The sequence below is a fragment of the Homo sapiens genome, chromosome 8, assembly GCF_000001405.40.
Source record: "Homo sapiens chromosome 8, GRCh38.p14 Primary Assembly".
Lineage (NCBI taxonomy): Eukaryota > Metazoa > Chordata > Mammalia > Primates > Hominidae > Homo > Homo sapiens.
The window spans coordinates 3,727,430-3,751,686 of record NC_000008.11 but is presented as its reverse complement, the minus strand read 5'-3'; the positions used below and the strand labels follow the sequence as shown (position 1 = coordinate 3,751,686).

General features: G+C 39.3%; 1 protein-coding gene across 3 annotated transcripts in view, besides 1 other annotated feature; it reads left to right on the top strand.

Annotated features, from left to right (window-relative positions):
* CSMD1 (CUB and Sushi multiple domains 1) overlaps positions 1-24,257 on the top strand; it is a 2,059,554-nt gene that overhangs the window by 1,243,228 nt on the left and 792,069 nt on the right. The window lies entirely within an intron of this gene.
* Positions 5,525-6,026: an enhancer, noted in NCBI's record as "NANOG hESC enhancer chr8:3603183-3603684 (GRCh37/hg19 assembly coordinates)". NCBI's record gives its function as "activates a minimal SCP1, AML or CMV promoter by ChIP-STARR-seq in primed H9 embryonic stem cells {active_cell/tissue: H9 hESC(primed)}" and the evidence as "EXISTENCE:reporter gene assay evidence [ECO:0000049][PMID:30033119]".

Genomic DNA, 24,257 nt, shown 5'->3' with positions numbered 1-24,257 from the left:
TAGCAATCACTTAGATGTATCAGACGTTGATTTTAAAAGTTAAAAAAAATATGTAATTAATGAAAGTATTATATAGAGTATATAAATTATATAAACAATACAACTACATTATAGAATTAAACTGTACGTACGTTATACACACTTCATTCTTGTATATATTATAGAAGCATAAATTATAATTACATTATTTATATATATTCTATAATATATGCTTAATTATATATTTAAGTATAAACATTTATATGTATAAACTGTATGTAGTTATATTTAATTAAATTTATTGTATTATATTTATATAAGAAATATATAAATAATTTATATATAGATGTAGATGTGTGTTCGTGTATATATATATATATACACACACACACACACACACACACACACTTCAATTGTATATATAAGGAGAGAGGAGTCAAAAATTTGGCATTTAATTCTAAAACGGTCAAAAGGTATGAAGGTATCAAGAGAGGTAAGCCTGGCTTAACAGTAATGCATTAGGAAACATTTCAAGGCTGACTTTAAAGTTCAGCTCCAAGACAACACGGTACAAGGAAGTTACCTTTTTTTCATTACCACATGGTCCTCATTGAACAGGGGACTTCCTGCTTAAAACCACATTTACGCAGACTGCCTGTGGAAGGTTAGGTTCAGTACTAGACACCACCCTCTGAAGAAGAAGAAGGACCAGAGAGAGGAAGATGACAAGACCCATCAGAAGGAGGATGTGAGGAATCTTAGAGGGCGCATGGTGCACAGTACGCAGAAAGGCACTACGATTATTTTTCTGGATCCAGAGGGCAGAACTGTTACCAAGGAATGGAAGCTCCAGTATGGTTGCTGTTGCTGATTCTAGAACAAACCTAAGGACAGCTGGAGACAGAGCAACAGCTTAGGATGAGATGGGCCCTTCTCAGAGTCCCTGCCAGCCACCCAGCCCTCCACACGGGGCTGTCCTGGTTTTTTGCGAGTAAGATCATCAAGTTTGTTCCTTCAGAGGGCAAATGTGAAACCTTCTGTCAAGCAGGGAAAACATTTGTTCAGCTGAATCTTCCCTCTTGTCTATACCGAGATTAAAAAGCATGAAGCCCAAATTGTATTGTACCTTTTATCTGAACTAAATACATTAAAGAAGGAAAGCCTGATATTATTTGTGCCAACAAAAATTGCGAAACAAAAAAAAAGCATAGTCGATTGATATTTGGGGACTAATAAGACAACAATAATAATTATAGTGAAAACTTACATAATGTAAACATTATTGTGTTATTTTCATCTTTCCAAATGTTGTCAAACAACTTGAATCATATATATCGTATATTTAACCTGAATCATATATATATGATATATATAAGATATATATATACATATAAAGTGGAGAAGAACATTTTAAAAAGAACATACATTTTTATGCTTCGCATATATTATAATCTTTTTAACGTTATTGTAGTCACGTTTATCATTTATGGTCATTTGTAAGAGAACAAAAATTCCGTCAGTGTTACTTGGATTGATACGATTGCAGATTATCTGGAATTCCTAAGAAACCCTTTGTGGTTCCTAGCCTTCCTCATATTCAATGCCTCCCCAGCCCAAAGCAACTAAAACAAACAGCTTGAAATTCCAAATTTTAAAACATAAAGAACTCAATAATGACTATATTTTTTGCACTATTGGTAGAAATCTGAATTGATATGACCGTTTTAGAAAACTGTTTTACCATCAAGCTGAACATAAGAAACATTTCAGGCATGCGTCCAACAGAAATGAGTAGCTACACACAATAGGTACAGAGAATGTCCCCAGGAGATGCGAGCACCATTGTCAACCACCGCGAACCACCTCAGTGTTCATTAACCATAGAAGTAATAAACAAACATGGAAAGAGAGAAACTACCTCTACATGTAACGACATGGGTGACTCTCACATACAATATTTCGTGAAAGGAAAAAAAAACATAAACCGTATGATTCGTTTATATGAAATCAGCCCACTGGTGGTCTCTTTCTATGAGAAACTTCTTTGTTTTCCAGCGTATGATGCTTGGACAGAATTGTGTAACTTCTCAAAGACAAATAATATATTCTTTTTAACTTGGTGCTTTTCTTGGTCAAATAAATGACAACCAACATAAAATATTCTTTCTACTCTTCCCTTACATTTTTAACTTTCATCTCCAAATTCTTTATTCTCGGAGTCTTACACTTTCTTCTTTGACTTTCACCTCTCCAATTATATCATCAAGTCATGTCAGAAGCAGTAGTAAGGTTGCTTGACAAGTAAAACTGTTCTACAGTTGCTACTCTTAAAATCTATTCACTTTTAAAATGACATTGTGAACAAAAGTAGTAGAAAACGCAGGGGAAAAACCCACAATATATTTGCAATATCTGCTGTATATATTGGGCTGTGGTTGAATGTAAGATTTATGCAGGACACATTATTTCTTTAAATCAGCTGAAAATTGAGCCCATTCTTTATATGTTGCCTCCATCATTAATTATAATTAAATAAGTGCCTTGTAAGCACAATCCATCATCTAGACGTTTTCAGTGTCTACAAGATAAATTTTTTGAAAATATATTAATCTTGAACCATGAGGGCCCCCTCACTACTAAATAGTCATCTAAGTGTTGGGCTCCAGTTTTACACACCTTTACCCGGCTGTTTATAAAATTACAATTTTCATAAAATGAAATTCCCATTGATTTTCTGTAACTGATAAATCATCATGAAAGTAAGTGTTTGTAATAAAATTCCAATTTTTATAGGGAACATTCATCTCATAAATCAAGGGAAACCCTGACAGTGGCGATAAAGCTTGTGTTGACACAAATAATTAGTTTGTTTTTAGGTTATAGTTCCCTATAACTATTGATTTTCCCTTTTAATTAAAATGAAGACCTTTATACCAAATGAAGACTTTCATGTTATTAGAAAGGCATTTTGAGTTATTGAAAGCCCCATGTTCCCAGGTTAATTCTAATTTGGATAAAACGTATGCATTCCCCATTCTCCAATGCTCACATTTTCTGAGATTTGAAATGCAGTTTCCAGAGCTCTATCTAGGAGTATACCTGGATTCTGGTGGCATGCATGGTTGCCTCTCCTTTTAAAACAGTGTAAAAATAATAACAACCATTATCTAGAACCTGGAAAGTGCTCAGTTACGTTTAGCGGAAGGAATGGAGGAAATCAAGTGCTCCTATTCCCCTCAAGGTTCCACGGACCACTGCTCTGCAGAGTGTCTAGAAACCTCCACATGGGCCTCCTGCCTGTTTCCATGGCAGTGGACCTCCCTTGCTATCTTGTATTTGAGGGAACTATTAGGTAGGTATGGATGCATGAAGTATTGTTTCAATCAAAATAAATTACTGAAATATATTATAACCTTTAAATAATTCTTAAAACCACTAAACCTCCATGAAAAAAAATAGTTTTTAATAATATAACTCATTCAAATCAGAAACACGTAACCACTTTTCCTAAATATCTACTTTAATTTCTCTCAGAACAAAAGATTCTTGTAAAGTCTCAATGGCACAAGTTTTAAGATTTTGGAAAAAGTGTCCATCTATGGGTTCCAAGCGACTGACTCTTACTCTGCACTTTTCATTAAGTACTTACGATTAGCCAGTACCCCTTCTACCTGTGTGTCTTGCTACCTTGTTTTATAAAATAGAAATAATCACGTCCACCTTGGAGAACCATGGTGGACTTCTAGACAAACGGAAGAAAAGTGGGACAAGGGTTTTTTCTAGGGCTGGGAAGTGGGAGGGAGCTCGCCACACTGAGGACCTTCCTCAGACTCAATGCCTCCCCAGCCCAAAGCAACTAAAACAAACAGCTTGAAATTCCACATTTTAAAACATAAAGAACAAAACAATGACTTTTTTTTTGCACTATTGGTGGAAATCTGAATTGATACGACCGTTTTAGAAAACTGTTTTACCATCAAGCTGAACATAAGGAACATTTCAGGCATGTGTCCAACAGAAATGAGCAGCTAGGCACAACAGGTACAGAGAACGTCCAGAGGAGATGCAAGCGCTATTGTCAACCACTGAGAATCACCTAAATGTTCATTAACCATAGAAGTAATAAACAAACTTGGAAAGAGACAAACTGCCTCTACATGTAACGACATGGATGACTCTCACATACAATATTTCATGAAAGGAAAAAAAACAAACGTATGATTTGTTTATATGAAAAACAGGAATTTGCAAAGCTATGTGTTCGCATGGATGACCATTAGTAAAAAAAAAATACTGTGTCTACATAATATTTCTGTGAAAAAAGTGTTTTCAAAGATGATCAGAACAATCTCTTCCAAAGAAAATGATGGATTGTTTAGAATTTGCTTGCAAATGGGGCCACATAAAATTACCTAGAGAATCCCTCCTGGATGGCATGGGGTTATTGGATGGCAGAACAGAAAGAAGCTTCAACTCTCATGCGAGAAATGGAGAGATTAAGGGCTGTGGCTCTCGTCATACAGCTTGCAAATGGCAGAACCAGGATGTGAGTACAGGCTGCTGTGCTCTTGGCTTCATGTCAGTCTTTACAACTGTGTTTCTCCACCGACTTGTCATACTGCTCCCACTACTTAACATCAGAACGTGTTTTAGTTGAGGGGTGGTGGATAGTGAGTTATTTTTATGAAATAAAATTCCTAATGAAAGGAGGAACTTTTTCGGATAGCTGTAATTTAGTCACAGCTTTATTTCTCAGACTGGCCTGTTCCAGGCAGAAAGCTGACAGGCCAGTGTCCTGACCCACTGTACTCAGTCCTCTTGGGCTGGCCATGTGATGACAATTTCTTAGCCCCACCCTATTGACCTTCATCAAAGAAGATAAAACAGGCATGATTATTTTGTTTCTCTCGGTATATTAAAAAGTCATAAATGTAAAAGTTCATTCTGAACAGCTTCTGGGTATCTGGTAAGGATAGGAGAAATACACTTAAATATTAGTTGTAATTATTTTGAGTAGATATTGGGGATAATTTCTTACTAATGTTGAAACAAGAGAATAAATTTAAGAAAGATATGAAATATTATTCATCAGAGATGTTAAATTAATGAATAAAAATCCCACGCAGACTAATGGAATACATGAACATTTGAGTTCATGCCAGAATTTTAATTCAGTGCACTTTTATGTATTGATTTATTTTAAAGTTGTGTCTCTGAAATATTAATGCATGACAAACGTTTACTGTTATATATAAAACCACTTTAAATCCTTCCTTTCTCTAAACTTTGAAATGTGGTTGACATTGGATAATTGGGGGCCAACAATGGTATCCAGTAAATCTCAGCTATTTAAAACAGATTAATACTTGGCAGTGACTGGTAGATTTTAAGTTCTTATGCTTCAAGAATAAAGTTCAGGTAGGTTATCAATCCCTTCGTAAATTGTTTTCCCGCAGTTTATAGTTTTGTGATGTGGAGGAAGAACTTATTCTGGCTTTCAGCATATCAGTCCTAAACTGCTATTCTTTTCAGCGTATCAGCCCTGAGCTGCTCTTATTCTTCATGTTCTCTGTCTCATGCAGGCAATATCGTTGGCCAAATCTGCAGACAATGTTTCATGTTTATTTGCTAAATGTCCGTGTGTACCTCTTGTAGGTAGCGGTGTGCTTTGGAACGGTAAGCATGATTGTGTCTACTGTACATGTGAGGAAGTTGTCCACCAAAGTCTTCAGCATTTACATTGACCAACTGGTCATGAAGTCTGGCCTTTCCCCCCGGCCTGCTGCTGTGACCAGGTTGGCGAGCTGCTGTAGTGACTGCTCCCCAGGCAATTACCTACATGATAATGTGGGGAAACCACAGATTATTCACAGCTGTAGGGAAACCAGGAAACCTTCAAAGGCACAGGTTACATTGCTTGTTCTCTTAATGATCTGAATCAGGCTTCTGAAATTGAATGGCGAAGCTGTTGCTTAATGAAATAAGGAATCTACTCTGAGGAGGTTAACGTCCTTACTCCAGCAGCTGCCTGACTTCCCCGGGGATTCATGCCCCTTGTGAAAAGACAAATGCTTCAGAGTCTCAGTGGAGTGCTCAGAATGAATCCAGAGATGAGTTCCAAAATGGTTGAGGAGCAAGCGTAGCAAAAGATGAATGTGGCAACCACTGAAAATTGTGATGATTAGATCCTGGGCGAGTTTCCTGTTGTACACGTGCAGAACCTGGTTTCCTCAGACTGTCTCAGATTACGTCAAGTTGGCATTTACTCACCTGTTTGTAAGACCTTTCTTTGTCAGAGCAATTTTGAAGAAATGTCTCAGAGGGTTCCCTCCTGCTGGTCAGCTCAGTCTCAGTGGTAGTTTTTAAAGGCTCATGAGATTCCAACCAGGTTCTTGCAGAGCTGACCATCATGTTCTTTCCTGTTGTGAAGGTGGCATATTCTCCTCCAGGGGAGCCTTGTAGTTAACTTTTGACCATGGCATAGTCTACAATTTACTACCCCAAAAAATATAACAGAGAAATGATAGAGTTCAAAATGGTTTTTCATAGATATTTTGAAATTTGTTTTGAAAGTAGTAAGAGCTTTGCTTTCTCAAGACACATATCTAGGGCTACAATTCAGCTTGTATGTCCATAATGGTTGTTAACATGTTGAATTATTTGCATCAGATGATAAATATTCACTGCCCGGAGAATCCTAAGAGCCTCCCAGCCCCAGCTACTCTAGGCTTTACTACAAAAGGCCTCAGCCCTGTCCTCATTAAAGCCCTTAGAAACCTCAGTCTGCTTCAGGCCCACTCAACTAAAGCGCTCAGCATGTTTGAACACCATCCCTTACTCTATCTGTGATGAGCATTTATCAGACTTAATGTTCAGTTCCATAGATATATGAAACAAAATAAATAAGAATGTCATTCATTCTAGAGAAATATACACCAAGTCTTGAGAGTACCTACATTACCCTAATGCTGTAAGTCACTGACTCTTCATTTCATAGCCCAGACAACGTTTCATGTTTATTTGCTACCTGTCTGTAGGCATCGCTTGTAAATAGCATGTGCTTTGGAACTTGAAGCATTACAATGTACACTGCACATGTTAAGCTGTCCACCACAGTCATCCACATTTACATTGACAAACTAGTCATGGGAGTCTGACATGAAAATAAAGAAACGAATCTTTGGATCTATTTTATTTATTTATTTATTTATTTTTGCCTCCAAAAAGTTTAGAAGTCCTAGTTAAAATCTAGTTTCCTAGACTTTTTTCCTGGTTAAAATCTTTCTATGGAATAAAACCTCATGTAATTCATTAACCTGGGTTCCAAATCTGGTCCTGCTGTGCCCTGTTTAGTAATCAGTGGAAGCCCACAGGGTATCACAGGCAGAGTAGATGCTCTCCGTGCTGTGTCCCCATCCGCCTTTTCAAACTCATCTTTTGATCCGTATTCCAAACTTCCCATGCTCCTGTTGCACACACCTGCTGCGGCTTGAACACGTCATCCCTGTCCTCAACTCCCACTCCCGCCAGACCTTCCATGCCCTTGTCAATCCAGAAAAGTGACGAGACAAGTCTCAATCATTTCAGGAGGTTTACTTGCCAAAGGGAAGGATGCATGCTGGGGAGACAGGTCTATGTCCTTCTCGGAAGAGGATTGTGAGGGCTCCACATTGAAGGGGAAAGGGCAGGATATTGAGAAATACACAATTTTCATGTAACGGGGGTAGGGGAAGATAATCATTCATGCCTCTGTCTGGGTCAGTGATTCTCCAATTTTTTATGTAAGGTGACAAAGACAAATGGTGCAGAGGAAAAGGCAGGGAATCTGGATTTTACATACGATAACATAGACGAAATTGGTTAGAGGAGGAAGCAGATATGCATTTGTGTCTGGTGGGCAAGGGAGTGACGGCAGCTGTAAAGATAAACTTATCAATTTACATCGCCATGGTGAAATTTTAACAGAAACACCTGGGAGTAACGATCTTGCAGCTCACTAGGAATGTCTTTATGGGAAAAAATACGGAGAAGTGTGGAGCTTTTCATCTTGTAATCACCTCATTTAGGAACCAAAAAGGGGAAGGAAGGTTTTCGAGACCTAGTTCCCAGCTTGACTTTTCCCTTCGGCGTAATGAGTTTGAGGTCCCAAGATTTAATTTTCTTTCACACCCTGCAACCACCCTTGTTTCTTTCCATTATTCTTTTTGAAGAAACTTTTTCCAGTCTTCTAAGTCAATATCAATTACTTATTCAGAAGTCTCCACATAATACTTATTATTTTCTAACACCATCCTAATGTCACACTATTCCACGCAATGCAGTTTTATGTGTGGACGGCAAATTATCTATTTTTCTAAAGAGCAAAAGCAGCAAGTTGTTTGTTGCTTCCAGCATCCAGGAAAGCCATCTCCAGAGAGGCAGAATTCGCTTCATGTTCCTTGAATAATTCCTGGAATATTTCAATGCCTGAGCAAAATAAAACCACAAAAAAAGGGCAGAACACTCTGCATTCATGAAAAGAGTCGTGTAGCACAGTAGAGAGATGCTGGCTTTTGGAGCCTGAAGACCTTCATGACACTGAGCAAGTCTCTCAGTTCCTTTAAAGGTTTGTTTATCCAGCAGTGAGATGGAGCTAAGCACAGCTGCCATACAGGGACCATGGCGGTCAAGTGAGACAAGTGTGCTAGGCGTATGTTCCAAGGGTGGCGTGGATTTTACTGCTTCCACTAGTTGTGTAGTCTGTGCCTCGTGGTATCCTGTCAAGAAGATGAGTGCGACATGAGGCTGCTCAGCGCATTCGCACGGAAATACTCTGTTATCCATTGCAGTCATAACACATTTAGAAACGCAGAAGTAACTCTTCACAGTGAAGAAGTTGGGTCTCCTTATATGAGGAGTTCTCTGTTTGTTTTTTGTTGTTGCTGTTGTTGGTGTTTTTGTTTCGTTTCGTTTTGTTTTTGTTTTTTTTCTTCTCTCTCTCTCTCTCTCTGATCCTATGCAAGCTTCTCAGGTGATTAAACTGGAGTGCTGACTCTGAGTGTAGGTGTATGGGAGAGACGTCCTTCAGGACGAGCAGAAGGAAAAGTGGACCTGGGCACGTCCTAGGGTGAAGCACTACTGGCCCGGGGCAGAGGCAATGCGTCACTTTCTTCACCATGTCCACAGGCAGGTTTATTTTATTTTCAGTGCAGTGCCAACTATCCATCAGAAATGTTTTTAAAAATGTATAAATCATAGACCGCAGGCCTATTGTAAGCATTAGATAGAGGAGCACAATTAAAAATTTACTGACTCTTTCTGCAGGAGTTTACAATTTTACTTATAGTTCTTGAAAAATATTCGGGTCAGATTCGCCACTGAAATGTTAATGTAAGTTATGGACTGTCTCCCTGGATACCAGATTTCATAAACATTTGTATGAACGTTATGTTTACCTGAAATCTTAGGAGTAATAAAATGTCTAGGTGAGAATTAAATCTATCTACAGAACATCCAGATTGGAATGATCACTTCTCCTTAATGGTGGGCTATAGAAGACTCACTTTACAGAAAGGCGATAGAAGTGACTAGGTGGATAGACAAATAGACTGATGGACAGGATTCCTCATCAGCAGAGCCAGGTGCACCAGGATGTGAGGCAAGAATGTGCTGAATGAGTGTGAAGCTGGGAAGAAAAGGAGAGAATTCCAGCCTCGAAAGGCAATTTGCAGGGTTAAAAAAAAAAAAAACCAAGATTCTTTGGAAAAAGTGGAATTAGATTTGCCATTTGTGGGAAATAATTATGAAAAAGTAGGTTTGGGCCAGAATATGACTCACATGGTAAGGAATTGGAACCTTTACCTTTGGTCCACAAGAGTTTGCTAAAGCCGACTTGAGCACATTTGAGAAAGAAAGGGTAGAAGGGCCATGGAGGGTCATAGAGAAATGGGCATATTCCCACAAATAAATTCAACCACCACTGGGTATTTTCTTCTTTCTCAGTAAGAATGCGCACTCAGAGAGGAGAAATTTTGTGTAGTGTTAATTTCCCAGTTAGAAGTTTAGAAATCCTTATTACTTTTCAGTTTTGCTAGAAGTTATCTGTCTGCACTATTTGCACTGAATAATTCAGGTTCTAACAAACAGTTAATCTTGAAGTCAAAAAATGCATATCATAAATGGATAGAAATAAATGTGCCTACTAAAAACTGTAAAACAAAAGGAAATGGGAAGTACATTTTACTTGGTAAATATGTAAAATTGCTACTCCCTCTGTCATGATGTAGGTACACAAAATGATTAACTTCAGAAGCTGGATGGGATAACCTGGCCCTATATGCCATCCTGTGATACATTCCCCTTCGGTCTCCCCTCTCACTGTCAAACTTCTTGAAAGGGAAGCTGCAAACCTCTTTAAACATTTAGTCTCTGACCTACTAAACTCTACCGCATGGAGTCATACCTCCTCTACCTTCTTCTTCTGTATGTTTTTTTTTTTTTTTTTTTTTTTTTTTTAAGACGGAGTCTTGCTCTGTTGCCCGGGCTGGACTGCAATAGCACGATCTCAGCTCACTGCAACCTCCACCTCCCAGCTTCAAGTGATTCTCTTGCCTCAAACTCCAAGTAGCTGGGATCACAGGCACCTATCACCACACCTGGCTAATTTTTGTATTTTTAGTAGAGACGGAGTTTGACCATGTTGGCCAGGCTGGTCTGGAAATCCTGACCTGAGGTGATCCGTCCACCTTGGCCTCCAAAGTGCTGGGGTTACAGGTGTGAGCCACTACCCCTGGCCCCCTCTATCTTCTTCTGATCCCAGTTTCCTCCCACCCCTGGGCACAGAAGCTGAGTAGGGCTCTGCCTCATCCTCTCTGCTATACTCTCCTCCACTGGGCACTCTGTTGCCTGCATAGCCTCCCTAAGCTGATGCTCAAGGTAAACACAGTGATTCTTCATTTCACTTTTTCCTTTGCTTTCCTTTGTGGAACTAGGTACCAAGTCTTTTAGACTCTTCGTTTGCAGTTTGTTTTGTTTGCTTCGACTCCTCTTCCCCAATACATCTCGTAAAATCTACATCCCAGGTCCCTACATTTGTCTCTTTACCAGCATCAAATCACACTACCTCAGCCCCTGCTCGTCCTCCTTCCTGTGTGTGCCATATAACTTTCCCTGTGGCAGAAATCCTTCTCCTTTCCGTCTGTATATCACATCCATCGGTGAACCCTCCTCTGAGTATTTTACCGCAGAAGGATGGCTCCCACTTCTGAGTTCTCCTGCAAAAGTCTACCTATTTTTCTGTACCAGGCATTTGGCTCTTATTCAGCATTGCATTTTATCATCAGTTATTCTTTAAATTTGTGCTGCCCAATGAAAGGAAGGCGGATCATTTGAGTTAAGGAGTTCGAGACCAGCCTGTCCAACATGGTCAAACCCCATCTGTACTAAAAATAGAAAAATTCGCTGGGCATGTTGGCAGGTGCCTGCAGTGTCAGCAACTTGGGAGGCTGAGGCAGGAGACTCACTTGAACCTGGGAGGTGGGGGTTGCAGTGAGCCAAGATCATGCTATTGCACTCCAGCCTGGAGGACAAGAGTGAAACTCCATCTCAAAAAGAAAAATAAAATAAAATTTTGTAAAATGAATACCTTTGTTGCATCTTTTACTCTATGAAAAACAGCATATTGTAAGTGGCTACGAATTTTATTGGTATTTCAATGACTCCCAGAAGAGACCAAGACAATTTTAATGATAGGGATCATGAAGGAGAATCGAACTCTGGCATTAGTTTCTCTGTAATTTTTAGAGAAAATATCCTCATTGCTTGAAGGCTGCAACCAGCATTATTTACTGGAGATTCTTCAACTTCCCTGCTTTTTTAATTGTCCCAAATGTAAAATGTCTGCATTCTTTGTTACTAACAAAATTGAATTTTTTTTTACCTTTTTCCATTGATCTCAGCTGACTGTAGCATCTGTTGCTATTTTTGTGATAACTGTGGATCAATAGTTTAAAACTTATAATACCCATTATGCCATGTGGTACAGTCTTACAACACAGGAATTTAAACATTAACAGATTTCCCTATGAACTGTAAATGTTCAGCACAGAAAGGCCTTTTGAGAGACTTAATGTGTTAGTTTTCAAAAACTTAAGCATTCCCAGATTTAATCAGTTTTCCCTTTTTTTCAATTGACGTGTAATAATTATACATATTTGTGGAATACAGAGAGATATTTTGAAACATAATATGTGTAGTGATCAAACCAGAGTAATTAACGGGTGCATCACTTCAAACATTTATTATTTCTCTGTGTTGGGAACATTCTAAATCCTGTCTTCTAACTATTTGTAAACGTGTAATAAGTGGTTAACTACAGTCACACTGTGGTGCCATAGAACACTAGAACAGATTCATCCTGTCTAGCTGTAATTTTGTATTCTTTCTAAAGACAATCTACAGCTTTGTCAGAAGTTTCAAAGGATGAGAACAGAATGCCTGGGACAAAAGTTTGAGGACAGGAGTGGGGATTGCATTCCTTACAGTATCCGGCATGCATCAGATACTTTAACTGCAAACATTGTTTAAACTTACAATTAACTCTGATCTAAATAAAATGTAAACTTATAGAATAAATCCCCACTATTTTGAAATTAAACCTGTGTCAGGTGAAATGTAAGAACATAACTAGAAAACAGAAAAAAGAAAGACATAGTTACAATATAACAATATATATCTCTGAATAGATCATGTCTAAAGTTTGAACACACCTTTTTGTGCATACAAATATGCGCATTCAGCAAGGACAGAGGGAAGACCATGGAGGCCTTACAGATTTCGAGACTATGAATGAAATATGAATGCCCTAATAAGTAACATTTATTGATGCCTATTTTAGATGAAGAGAAACATGGTGTCACGCGTGTGAGCCTATCTGTATAGTGCACCCAGTTGACGGAGGTTGTTTTATTTTACGTTACTCTGAATTTGTCTTTGAAATTAGGGTTGGTGACCACAGGGTGGCACCTTCCATGTGTCTGTGTGCATTCAGTAGAAAGACTTATCTGTTATCTAAGCCCTGTCTAAGGCATGTCTTCTCTTGGTCCCCTCAGTGGTGACTGCTGCCACCTGAGGATGTTTGCCATCCCCGTGACAAGAGCACAGAGCCCTGAAAAGGGAAGGGCATTCATGTTTGGCGGCAGGACCAGTATTTGCATTTCTGATCACCAGGATCAAAACTCTAACTTAAATTATGTATTCACTGCACATATGAGCTTCAAGTCATTTTCCCCCAAAATTGAAATAAATAAAAGGTGTGACAACCACCATGCATATTTTATGAGAAGAATGTACAATTGTAGTTATTTTTGCCAGGCCCCAATGCCTGTATGCATTGTACGATGTATTGAAATATGCAAAATACACATACAAATATCTAAGACTTCTCTTCCTTCCACTGTGATCGTCGCTATTTTCTGTTAGGGCTCTCTTGCTTTTTAAGTAGCATAAAATTCACTACTTCATATAATTTATTTCTGTGCTTATTAAATGTATAGATCAAAGGGCATATATTTTTATTACACATGTCTACTAAATGTATTTAGTAAATAAAAGTGTATGTTAGAGCCCACACAGTGCTAATGGAAAGAGACTATAGTAATCATTTACATTAGTGTTTGAAACTTACAGACACCAGAAAGGGAGACATGGCCCCTTTTCACTTCATTAGTTTGTCACTGCATTCTTCTGCAATTTATTACAAGTAATTTAGTTGTTTCTTTTAAGAATTTCCCTTGACAATTATCTACCTTTAGAACACAAGCAAGTCAGAGTTTGAGGGAATTCTCACTGGGCAAAGACTAAATAAGGCTGACTTAACATTAAATGGGTTATGTTTTGGTAGTTTTAAATACTACCATCTTGGCTATTTTTATTTGTCTCCTTTGATTTCAGACGATTTCATGGGAGCTTAAATGAATGTGGTCAGAGAATCTTTAATTAAATATCACTGCCTCAATTTGGAAGTCAGAAACGTGAAGACAAGAAATTGTAATTGATTTTCCTGGTCAGTGTGGATTGTTGGGGCAACCAAGGTAGCTTAAAAAAAGCTTAGTAACTGAGAGGGTGATCTCTCTTGACAGTGTTTTAAATGACATAGGAGGATATATGCTACTCTGTGCAAGGAGATTGGTAAAAAGAAACCAGTAACAGTGTAAGTAAAAAATGTTCAACAGAGAAATTTTTCAACAGAGAGCAAGATGATGGCATTTAACAATTAATTTTTCTGTAACTTTAATTCTAAAATAATTTGCATTTCTTTATCAGTAAAAGCATTATAGAAATAAAGATTGCACAATGAAGAATGTGATAGAGAAAGGGGGGTCACATTAGGAATGTGAGGTTTGTGGTCAGCTGTCTTTGCCTCCTGAAGGAAGTCACATCAATTTACTTTAGCAAGATAAACTTATAGGCCATTACTCCCAATCGGCTTATCTCTAGAAAGCAAAAAATCAATGATAATTTCTCCCGATAGTCATTGTTTGTGATTAGGGTAGGAAATGCAATTTTTATTAAACTAATTGTCTCTGTTCCCATCTAATTTAAGATTAAAATATAATATGGGACTATTGTAGTTACATGACTATAATATAAATGAACACTGACTTTCAAATCCGCTTAAAGCACTTTATAATTGGACGTAATCATGTAACCACAGTCGTGTGCTGAATGTCACCTGTGTATCAGATCCTGGGAGGAAATGACAGGAGGTAGGGGAGAGGGCTCAGGGAGAAACCTTACCCAGAATGCTTCACACGGAATGTTCTAGTAGGATGCACACAGCACCTTCTACATGCCAGGCATGGCTTTCACCCATTCATATGTAGACATACGTAACATCCCAGCAGCCTCACAAAACAGGGCCTATTTATGCCACTCCCACTTTGCAGATGAGGATCTGAGGCAAAACGACACACCTAATGATTGGTAAAGGTGAATTTGAAGCCAGGCAGTGTGAAGCAGGTGTGTCCTTATCCCCAGCTCCATTCTGCGGAAGCTGAGTCAGGCCAGGTCGCAGGTGATGGAAGACCTGGGGCATGAGAAAGATTCACTCTGCCATTGCCTGGTGTTGCAGGAGCCAGGGCCTGGGAGCCATGGTGAGGCAGGTGGTAGACACACTGGAAATGATATTCTACTCATGTGGTCCACACCAGTGATCCCAGCAATTTGGGAAGCTGAGGAGGGAGGATCACTTCAGCCCAAGATTTCGAGACAAGCCTGGACCACGTAGTGAGACCACATTGCTACATTTTTTTTTTTACATTAGCCATGCATGGTGGTGATTTGCACCTGTGTCTCAGCTTCTTGGAAGGCTGAGGTAGGAGAATCACCTGAGCCCAGGAGGTGGAGGCTGCAGTGAGTCGTGATTGCCCCACTGCACTCTAGCCTGGGTGACACAGTGAGACCCTGTCAAAAACAAAACAAAACAAAACAAAAAAATACACACACACACAAATGTTGAGTGAGAATCAAATTGTGTTAATACACATAGAATATGATTAGACGCAGATGTGATGCGATTACAGGGTTTTATGAGTACTGAAAAGATTTAATGTATGTAAACTGCATACAACAGTGTTGGAAACGTAGAATTTATATTATTAATCTCCTTCACACCTGCTTTAGGTAGTTCTTTGTATTTCTATTCCCTCTATTTTTTTTAATCCACCGCACTTATTCCCACTGAAAACCATGTATTTTACCCATTTACCTGTCTACTGTTTATTTTCTTTCCCTAGCAAGAAAGCTTTAGGAGGCTGTAATTTTTGTCTGTTTTATTTATAACTCTATGTCATATATTTAGAAAAATTCTAGGCATAAATTAGGAAATCAATGCATATTTTCAAAATGAATACTGATAGAAAGTGTAATTGGCCAGATTAGCAAGGAGCATGTGTGGTATCTGCAGCAACATTGTAAAGGCTAGAGGTGTGGTAGGCCTTGCTCCAAACGAGTTTCTGTTGTCCATGAATTTAATCCTGATAGCAAGCCTCTCCAGAGGGCAGCCCATTTCTCAGCCGAGTGAACCAGGGCACCAAGAGATTCAGACTTACCTGTGGAGAGAGTTAAATGAGTAGTGAAGTCAGACACTGAAGCAAGTCATGCTGACTCATATTTTCTAAAGGCAGAATTTGCTTTTTACTGTGTAACTGGACAGAATCAGTAGCTAATACACAGGGAAACATGAATATATTGACACAGAGACTTCTAAAACATTTTGCCTAATACCTGCATTTTGTAGATGCATTCTGGAATCATCTAAGGATTTTGTAAATTATACAGTTGCTCAACTTCCAGGATTAAAAGTCTTGAGTCAATATTTGCAGAATCTGGTTGTGTGTGTGTGTGTTTGTGTGTTTTGTTTGTTTTTTATCTTGCCATATATGATGTATAAGCCAAGTTTTGGATCTGTGTTGAGTAATATCACTAAATATCCAAATCAGACAGAAAGCCATTAAGGAGCCAGGGGCAACTTGCCCGTTACCGTGTGCCTGATCAAGGGAAATATGACTTGGGAATGTATCAGCTGAAGGAAATGCTGGTGATTGAAAAGAGTTATTTTGCAAATGTACCTGTTTCACATCGTTGTGGTGGCTGGCGTGTGTCCTCCCATGTCCACATTCATATCACCTATTTTGTTTTACAAAAACAGCATTCCCTCCTCACTCCTCTCTTTGCACACCACAGGGGAGCTATTGCTCTCAAAACAAGAACAGAGGCTACTCTGGAGGGTTTGGATGAAGTAAAAGAAGAGTTATGTCTCTAACTGGAAACGGAAAATTGCTTCAGTACAGCCCTATTGTAGCATCAGCGGCATTAGATGAAGTTTCATGGGAGCAACCAGAAGGAAGGTATCCCCGTCACGGGGCCTCAGCACCCAGTTGCAGAGAGCAGAGAGATCTGATTACAGAAGAAGCAGCCACATTAGGAGAGTTTCTGTATTTCATTTTACTTATTTTTTTGAGACAAAATCTCACTCTGTCACCCATGCTGGAGTGCAGTGGCGTAGTTTTGGCTCACTGCGACCTCCGCCTCCCAGGTTCAAGCAATTCTCCTGCCTCAGACTCCCGAGTAGTTGGGATTATAGGTGCCCGCCACCAGGCCTAGCTATTTTGGGTATTTTTAGTAGAGACAGGGTTTCACCAAGTTGGTTAGGTTGGTCTTGAACTCCTGACGTCAAGGGATCCACCCACCTCAGCCTCTCAAAGTGCTGGGATTACAGGCGTGAGCCATCGCACCTGGCAGAGTTTCTGTATTTTAAATTGAGCAGTGTTCCCAATGCTTCCAGGCAGAAGCAAATCCATTTTTCTACGATGCTGTCGAACAGCCCTCATCAGTCTCTTGGCTATCAGTAATAAATAAGATGCAGCAGACCCCGCCTGGAAGCACTAGGGAGACACTGGGAGATGAAACATGGAATGGTGCTGAGTAGGAAGCCGAAGGCTCCCATTCTCATCGTGAAATGCAGGCTTCCAATTCCATGCATCAGCTCAATGTTTTAAGTAGTATATTGGTAATGGTAGTATCCTTAAATAATTAAATATCTTTATTAAGTATTAATTTAGCACATTGGAACTCAAGGATAAGAAGTTCACTTAAAAATTCTTTGTATTTTTAAACAGCTTGCATTTCTTCCTGAGTTTATTCACTGCCATATACACACTCACACCCTTGCACACGTACAGACATCCCCCCCTTATCCTTGAAGGATAAGTTTCAGGACCCCAGTGGATGGCCGAAACTGTGGCTAACACCAAACCCTACATAAACTATGCTTTTCTCGTACTTTGTACCCATGATAAAGTTTAATTTATAAACGGGGCACATATGAGATAAACAATAACTAATAATAAAGTAAAAACAGTTCTAACAGTATGCAAGTATCCACCCGCTTGCCATCATTAAGTACAAGTAAAATAAGGGTTACTTGAACACAGACACCACAACCCCATGGGCGTCCATCCAGTCCCTGAGATGGGCACTGAGTGACTCCCAACTCCAGGCAGGCGGTGCAAACAGCAGGGACCTTCTGGACAGAGGAATGATTCGGGACCGAGGCAGGATGCAGCAGGGCGGTGCAGGGTTTCATCACACTCGAAGAATGGCCCGCAACTTACAACTTAAGAGTTGTTTTTTTCTGAAATTTTTCGTTGAATATTTTCAGAACGCGGTTGACCGTGGGTAACTGAAACCGTTGAAAGCAAAACATTGAATAAGTGAAGATTAGTGCATACATACACCAAATCAAAAGTACATTCTTACAGGTTTCTATCATCTAATCCAGATAATATATATTATATTTTATATATATATTATATATATAATATATATGTCTGTGTATATATATTTGTACATATATGTATGTGTATATATATTCATATGTATATTTATGCATATATAAATATGTGTATGTGTATATATATTAATATGTGTAATATATGTATGTGTATGTATGAGAGAGAGAGAGTGTGTGTGTGTGTGTGTGTGTGTGTGTGTGTGTGTGTATTTATGGCCTCCTGGTACTGAGTCTAATTCCTAACTTCTTTCACTTTATCTTTTCCACTTTAGCCTCTGTTGGTAAAGTTTGTGTCACTTTTATAAAACCAATCAGCAGCATTTACTTCGGCTGACATATTCCCAAGTCAGATTTCCCTTGATCAGGGCACACGTATCTTTAGGTAGGTAGGTAGGTAGGTTGGTAGATAGGTAGGTAGGTAAGTAGATAGATAGATAATGGATAGATAAATAGTTGTATGATAGATGATAGATAGATAGATGATAGATGGATGGATAGATAGATAGATCTCTTTTAAAACAGATTTCAAAATAGTCTTGAATCACTCGATAAATACCTGAGATGAGGCCAGGTGAAACGGAATCACTCAGTGGGATGGACGTTTCAGCTTAGTAATTAAGCATTGAGTTTATCAGGTGTTACTCTTGAAGGTTCAGTTCATCTGGGGCATTTTTTACTTTTCTTTTTTTCTGTCTTAAAAAAAATCAATTTAGGATTGAACTCTGTTCAAACAAGCAAACAAACCAAAAAGGTCTTAAAGGCAAGGGTTGCTGAAATGCAGCTTTCATGGTGCGTTGCCTGGGCATAAAGTCAGGGTGTTTAGTAGAATGTACTAAGAAATTATACAGAGTCTCAGCAAATATTTTCCTCTTATAGCTATTGAGCTTATGGTTCTTTTTGTTTTTTGTAGTTAAATTACTATTCCTAAGGAATGAGTCCTTCCAGTATGACTTGGTTCATTATTAATTTCATTGAAGGGTACAGCTAGAAAAAGTCCTTGACAATAAAATTTCATTGGTTTACTATGGTGAGGCTGTGATCCACACAGGTTAAATGACTTGATCAAAATTATTTTTAGCGGAAAGATTTTAAGCCTTTCTAAAGAGGGCAGCTTTGTATCGAGTAATTGCCCTGCAGGGTGGCCTCGGGCGAAACTGCTAAATTGATAGAGTCCTCTCGGAAAGACTCTGTTCCCAAGGCAACCACCACGAGTGACCTGAACTCAGGGCTTGCCCGTGGCTTCCGCTAGGAGCCCTCTCCTCCAAGGCCCTCCTTTCCCTGGTGGCATCCATTTTATTAGGCTCTTTGGTCATAGGAATGGAGCATTTTTTTTGTCTAAAAAATGTGGAGAGCATGCATTCTGCTCTTCTTACAATGTTGCTGCTGTTCTTTAAATATCTGCTGAGTTCAGTGAGAGCCCAGGGTTTGGAGTCCATTGTATGGTTTCAAACCTCAGGTCCAAAACCACTAAGGTCACATTATTCAACTGCTCTAAGCTTTAGTTTCCTCATTTATAAAGCAGTGATAATGATGGAAACTCACTCATGGGTGGTGAGGAGTAAATGAAACATCACATGTCCAAAACATAAGCACTTAATGCTGTTACCATTAATATTGGTATTGCTCATCATCTTAGTCTCTCTACCTGTAAATTCTGTGCTCTAAGCCTCTGACCCATTTATACTTTGTTTCCTCAATTGTTGCTGACCTCCCAGTACCGAGCATAATTCCTATCTTCTTTCAGTGCATCCTTTCCATTTTAGCCTTGGTTGGTAAAGTTCATATCACTTTCAAAAACCTATTTTAGATTCTTCACGGGTGGAATCAAATCACCCCAGCCATACTGGCTGCACTGGGTCAAGCACTTATCCATGAATTGTCCAACAGTGGCTGGGCAAGTTTCGGATTGAATTGAAGGGGTTAAAACTGGTAGTCATTATCATGACCATGCCAGGTAAAGAATCCCACACTCTTACCAAGACAAGCAACATTTCTCCCTGTATTAGCCTGAACTTCCACTAAAATGAAATATTCCTCCATCTCTTTCTTTCAAGAGAGGCATTCAGAGAGACTCTGTTTGTGGAGATGCATCTGTATCTCCATAAATGCTGGTCAATGTAGAATGCACGTCATTGTTTGCTGGGGGAAGGAGGACAGTGGGAAGGTGGAGAAACTGCTTAATGGGTAAGAGGTTTTACTTTGGAATGATGGAAGTGTTAACAGACATACTGAAATATTTATGGATATATAGATTTATGTTCTGGGGTGTGCTCGACAATAAACTTGATTGGGAAGAAAGTGTATAAGGACGTAGGAAAAATAGCTGTGATAATTATTACAGCTGAGTGATGGGTATCTGTAGGTTCAATTCACTTTTATCTGTAATTTTGTGTATGTTTGAAATAAATTTTCCCCACTAAAATAATTTTTACAAAAGCAACCTTTGGCAAGAAATGGCACTTTGAAGCAGCAAATTGGTCTACGTATTATAGTGGCTAAAAGCACTCTCTCTTATCACCTCTAGCATAATTTCCTAATATCTGGCATAACATGAATGGGGTTGTTTTTGAACATGTCAAAATATTAGGTTAAGGGTATCACCTCTGAGTGACACATAACTCTGGTCCTATCTGCATAGAACTGTGAATAAGTTTCTAGGTCTGTTTAATGGAATAAACAAGGTGCCTTTTGGTGAGGTTAGTAAATGCTGGTGAAGGTCAATCTGTCAGAAGAAATGTAAGCTTTTTAGAGGATGACATAAGTGAGAGGTGCACATGTAGGCACTGAAACCATATAGTGTGTGCAAAGCTGTTCATTGGCGGTAGCACTTTCCTCTCCTCGCTGTGATCCCTACCACTAACCTGGGGCCAAATCAGCATCAGTCAATTAAGGGATAATGGATCTCTTGAGAGCCTTCTTAGACAGCAGTCTTTGCTCTGCTAACCTAGAGGTTTGCTCTATCCCAGCTCAGTGGTGATCAGACACAGGGCAAAAAAAAAAAAAAAATCGCTCCTTAAATTTTTTTGGGAGCATGAGGAGAATGCATCAGTGTGTTCATTTATCTACATGAAGGAATGGCTGAGTCAGGGATGATGCATCCAAGGGGCTCCATGTGCTCAAGGTATTTTCTCATCTCGAATTTAACCATATGGGGAATCAAACTGGAAGCCTCATTCTCTGCCTACCTGTTGGAGACATGATTTTGGGGGAATGGAAGGACTTGAAGCCTTCAGGATGATCACATTGTCTCCTTGTAAGTAGTTTACTTTTGCAAACGGGAAAGTTCTTTTGGGGTGAGAGCAGAATCACAGCCTTAAGGTAGAGGACCTGTGGAAACACTTGCAGCGCTTCGACCAAAGATTTTTCTCCTCTGAACTTTTTGAAACATTATTATGTATCCGTTCTTCTGTTTTTGTTTTTTTTTTTTTTTTTTTTTTTTTTTTTTTTTTTTTTTACTTTGAATTGGCAAATAATAATTCTGTAGATTTGGGGAGTACAGTGTGATGTTTTGATACGTGCTTCAATACATGGAATATGCAAGGTGCCTTGTTTATAAATATGCTGTAGAATGAAGAAATCATGGTCATCAGGATATCTATCACCTGAAATAATTATGTCTTTGTGGTGAGAGCTTTTAAAATCCTCTGAGCTTTGGTGGAAGTGATAGGGACTTAGCAGAAGAAGAGGCGAGTTTCATCTTTAAACACTTCGCTGGTAGCCCCCATCGCTTCCTCTAAGTTGAGTTCACCGTCTTTCCACACTAAGATCTGCTAATGGCTTCCAGCAGGTTGTCATGAAGTCTTACTGACCCGATACCTTCTGGACATTGTCAAGGCCCACTTCGATTCCTCTTGGGCAGGTTCCACAGTCTGTCTTGCTGGGGATACATATTGCCTCTATGTTCAAGCACTTGAAATGTATTTCATCTACTGGCGGATATTATATCCCTCTTTTAACATGCAGAGAGTTGTGCCTAAGAACTGACTGAGCACAACTGAGCCCAAGGCGAGTGAGTGGTGGCAGAGCTAGACTGGCAAAGTCTCACTCCGAAGCCCACCCTCAGACAGCATCTGCCCTGCACGAGCCCTGTGCCAGGAGGTGAACACTTCCTGTAGCAAGCCGTCAGTCATTAAAAAGGCAGGGAAGAGTGTGCCTGACCTGAGGTCTTTTTAAGACGGCATTGCTTATTGCGTGGCAGTAAGTCTTGTCATGAACGAGTTAGTTAAATGTTCCACAAGTGAGTTTTCTGAAAGTTGTCTACTTTAGCTCGAAACCTTTACTTCCCTGGCTGACATGTTCAGATCACGTGGAGAATTACGGCCAGACTTTGGATTAGAAGTTTTGCTGGTCGGTTTGGCGGGGCTCCCCACAGAGGACAGTAGCATCACACTCTACCACCTCAGCCCTGCAGATATTCGAACGGCACTCATTTGCATTATTTTGGGATTATTGATTTAAAATGCAGTCGGTGATAGATTGAAAACCACGTGGATGCCAGTATCCCTGCCTTAGTCCATGAATCTGCTTCAGTAAAAGAACTAATGTTAGAAATATTAAGGGGGCATTATCAGTCAATGTGCTGAATAAACCTCATATTTGACATTTGAGATGTATTAATAGTTCAGCTCCATAACTTAAGACAGACCATGCCCACCATTTTAACTTGCATCATTTGCAAGATTACAAGAGCACTCTTTCTACTTTCTCCTTCTGTTCCATCTGTGCTCCCCACACGACTGCTCCAGGATGGTGGTCTCTACCACAGATGCCCTTTTTCTTTGGTTAATGTGCAAGTCAGTCACACCACTGAAAGGCTCTTGGAACATAGGCAAACCTACGTTTATATTTATTTTGAAAGAAAAGTGCTAAGTTTTATTATTTTACTTATTATTTGCTACTCTGTTACGATAAACCTAACACAGAATTTACCATCTTCACAACGTTTAGATGTTGTATTAGTCTGTTTTCATGCTGCTGATAAAGACATACCCAATACTGGGTAATTGATAAAGGAACGAGGTTTAATGGACTCCCAGTTCCACGTGGCTGGGAGGCCTCACAGTCATGGTGGAAGATGAAGGAAGAGCAAAGGGATGTCTTACATGGTGGCGGCAAAGAGAGAATAAGAACCAAGAGAAAGGGGTTTCCCTTTGTAAAACCATCAGATCACATGAGACTTATTCACTACCATGAGAACAGTATGGGGGCAACAGCACCCATGATTCATTTATCTCCCACTGGGTCCCTCCCATCGCACGTGGGAATTATGGGAGCTACAATTCAAGATGAGATTTGGGTGCGGACACTGTCATAGCCAAACCCTTTCAAATGTACAATTCAGGGGCATTGAATACAGTCACACTGTTGTGTAGCCTCCACCACCATGCATTTCCAAAACTGAAAGTCTGCACCCATTAAACTCTCATTACCCATACCCCCTCCTCCCTGCCGCTCTTTGAATTTGACTACTCTAAGTATCTAATTATCGATGAAATCATACAGTATTTGTCCTTTTGTGACAGGCATATTTCACCTGGCGCACTGCCCTAAAGCTCACCCATCTGTGGCATGTACCTGCGTTTCCTTCCTTTTTAAGACTAAATTATAACCGATTATATGGTCAGATCACATTATCTTTATCCATTCATGTGTTTATGGACAGTCTTTCTGCCCCTCCTTGGTTATTGTAAATAATGCTGTTTTAAACTTGAGTGTAAAAACATCTACTTGAATCCCAGCTTTCCATTATTTCAGGTGTGTACGCAAAAGTCGAATTGCAGTATCATATGCTCATTTTTATTAGTATTTTTTCGAGGAACTTCCATACTGTTTTTTCACGACAGCTGCCTCATTTTACATTCACACCAGCAGTGCATGAGAGCTCTAGCTTCTTACTCTTTATTCATTTTTAATGCACACATTGGTCACCCTCATGTTAGAATATTAG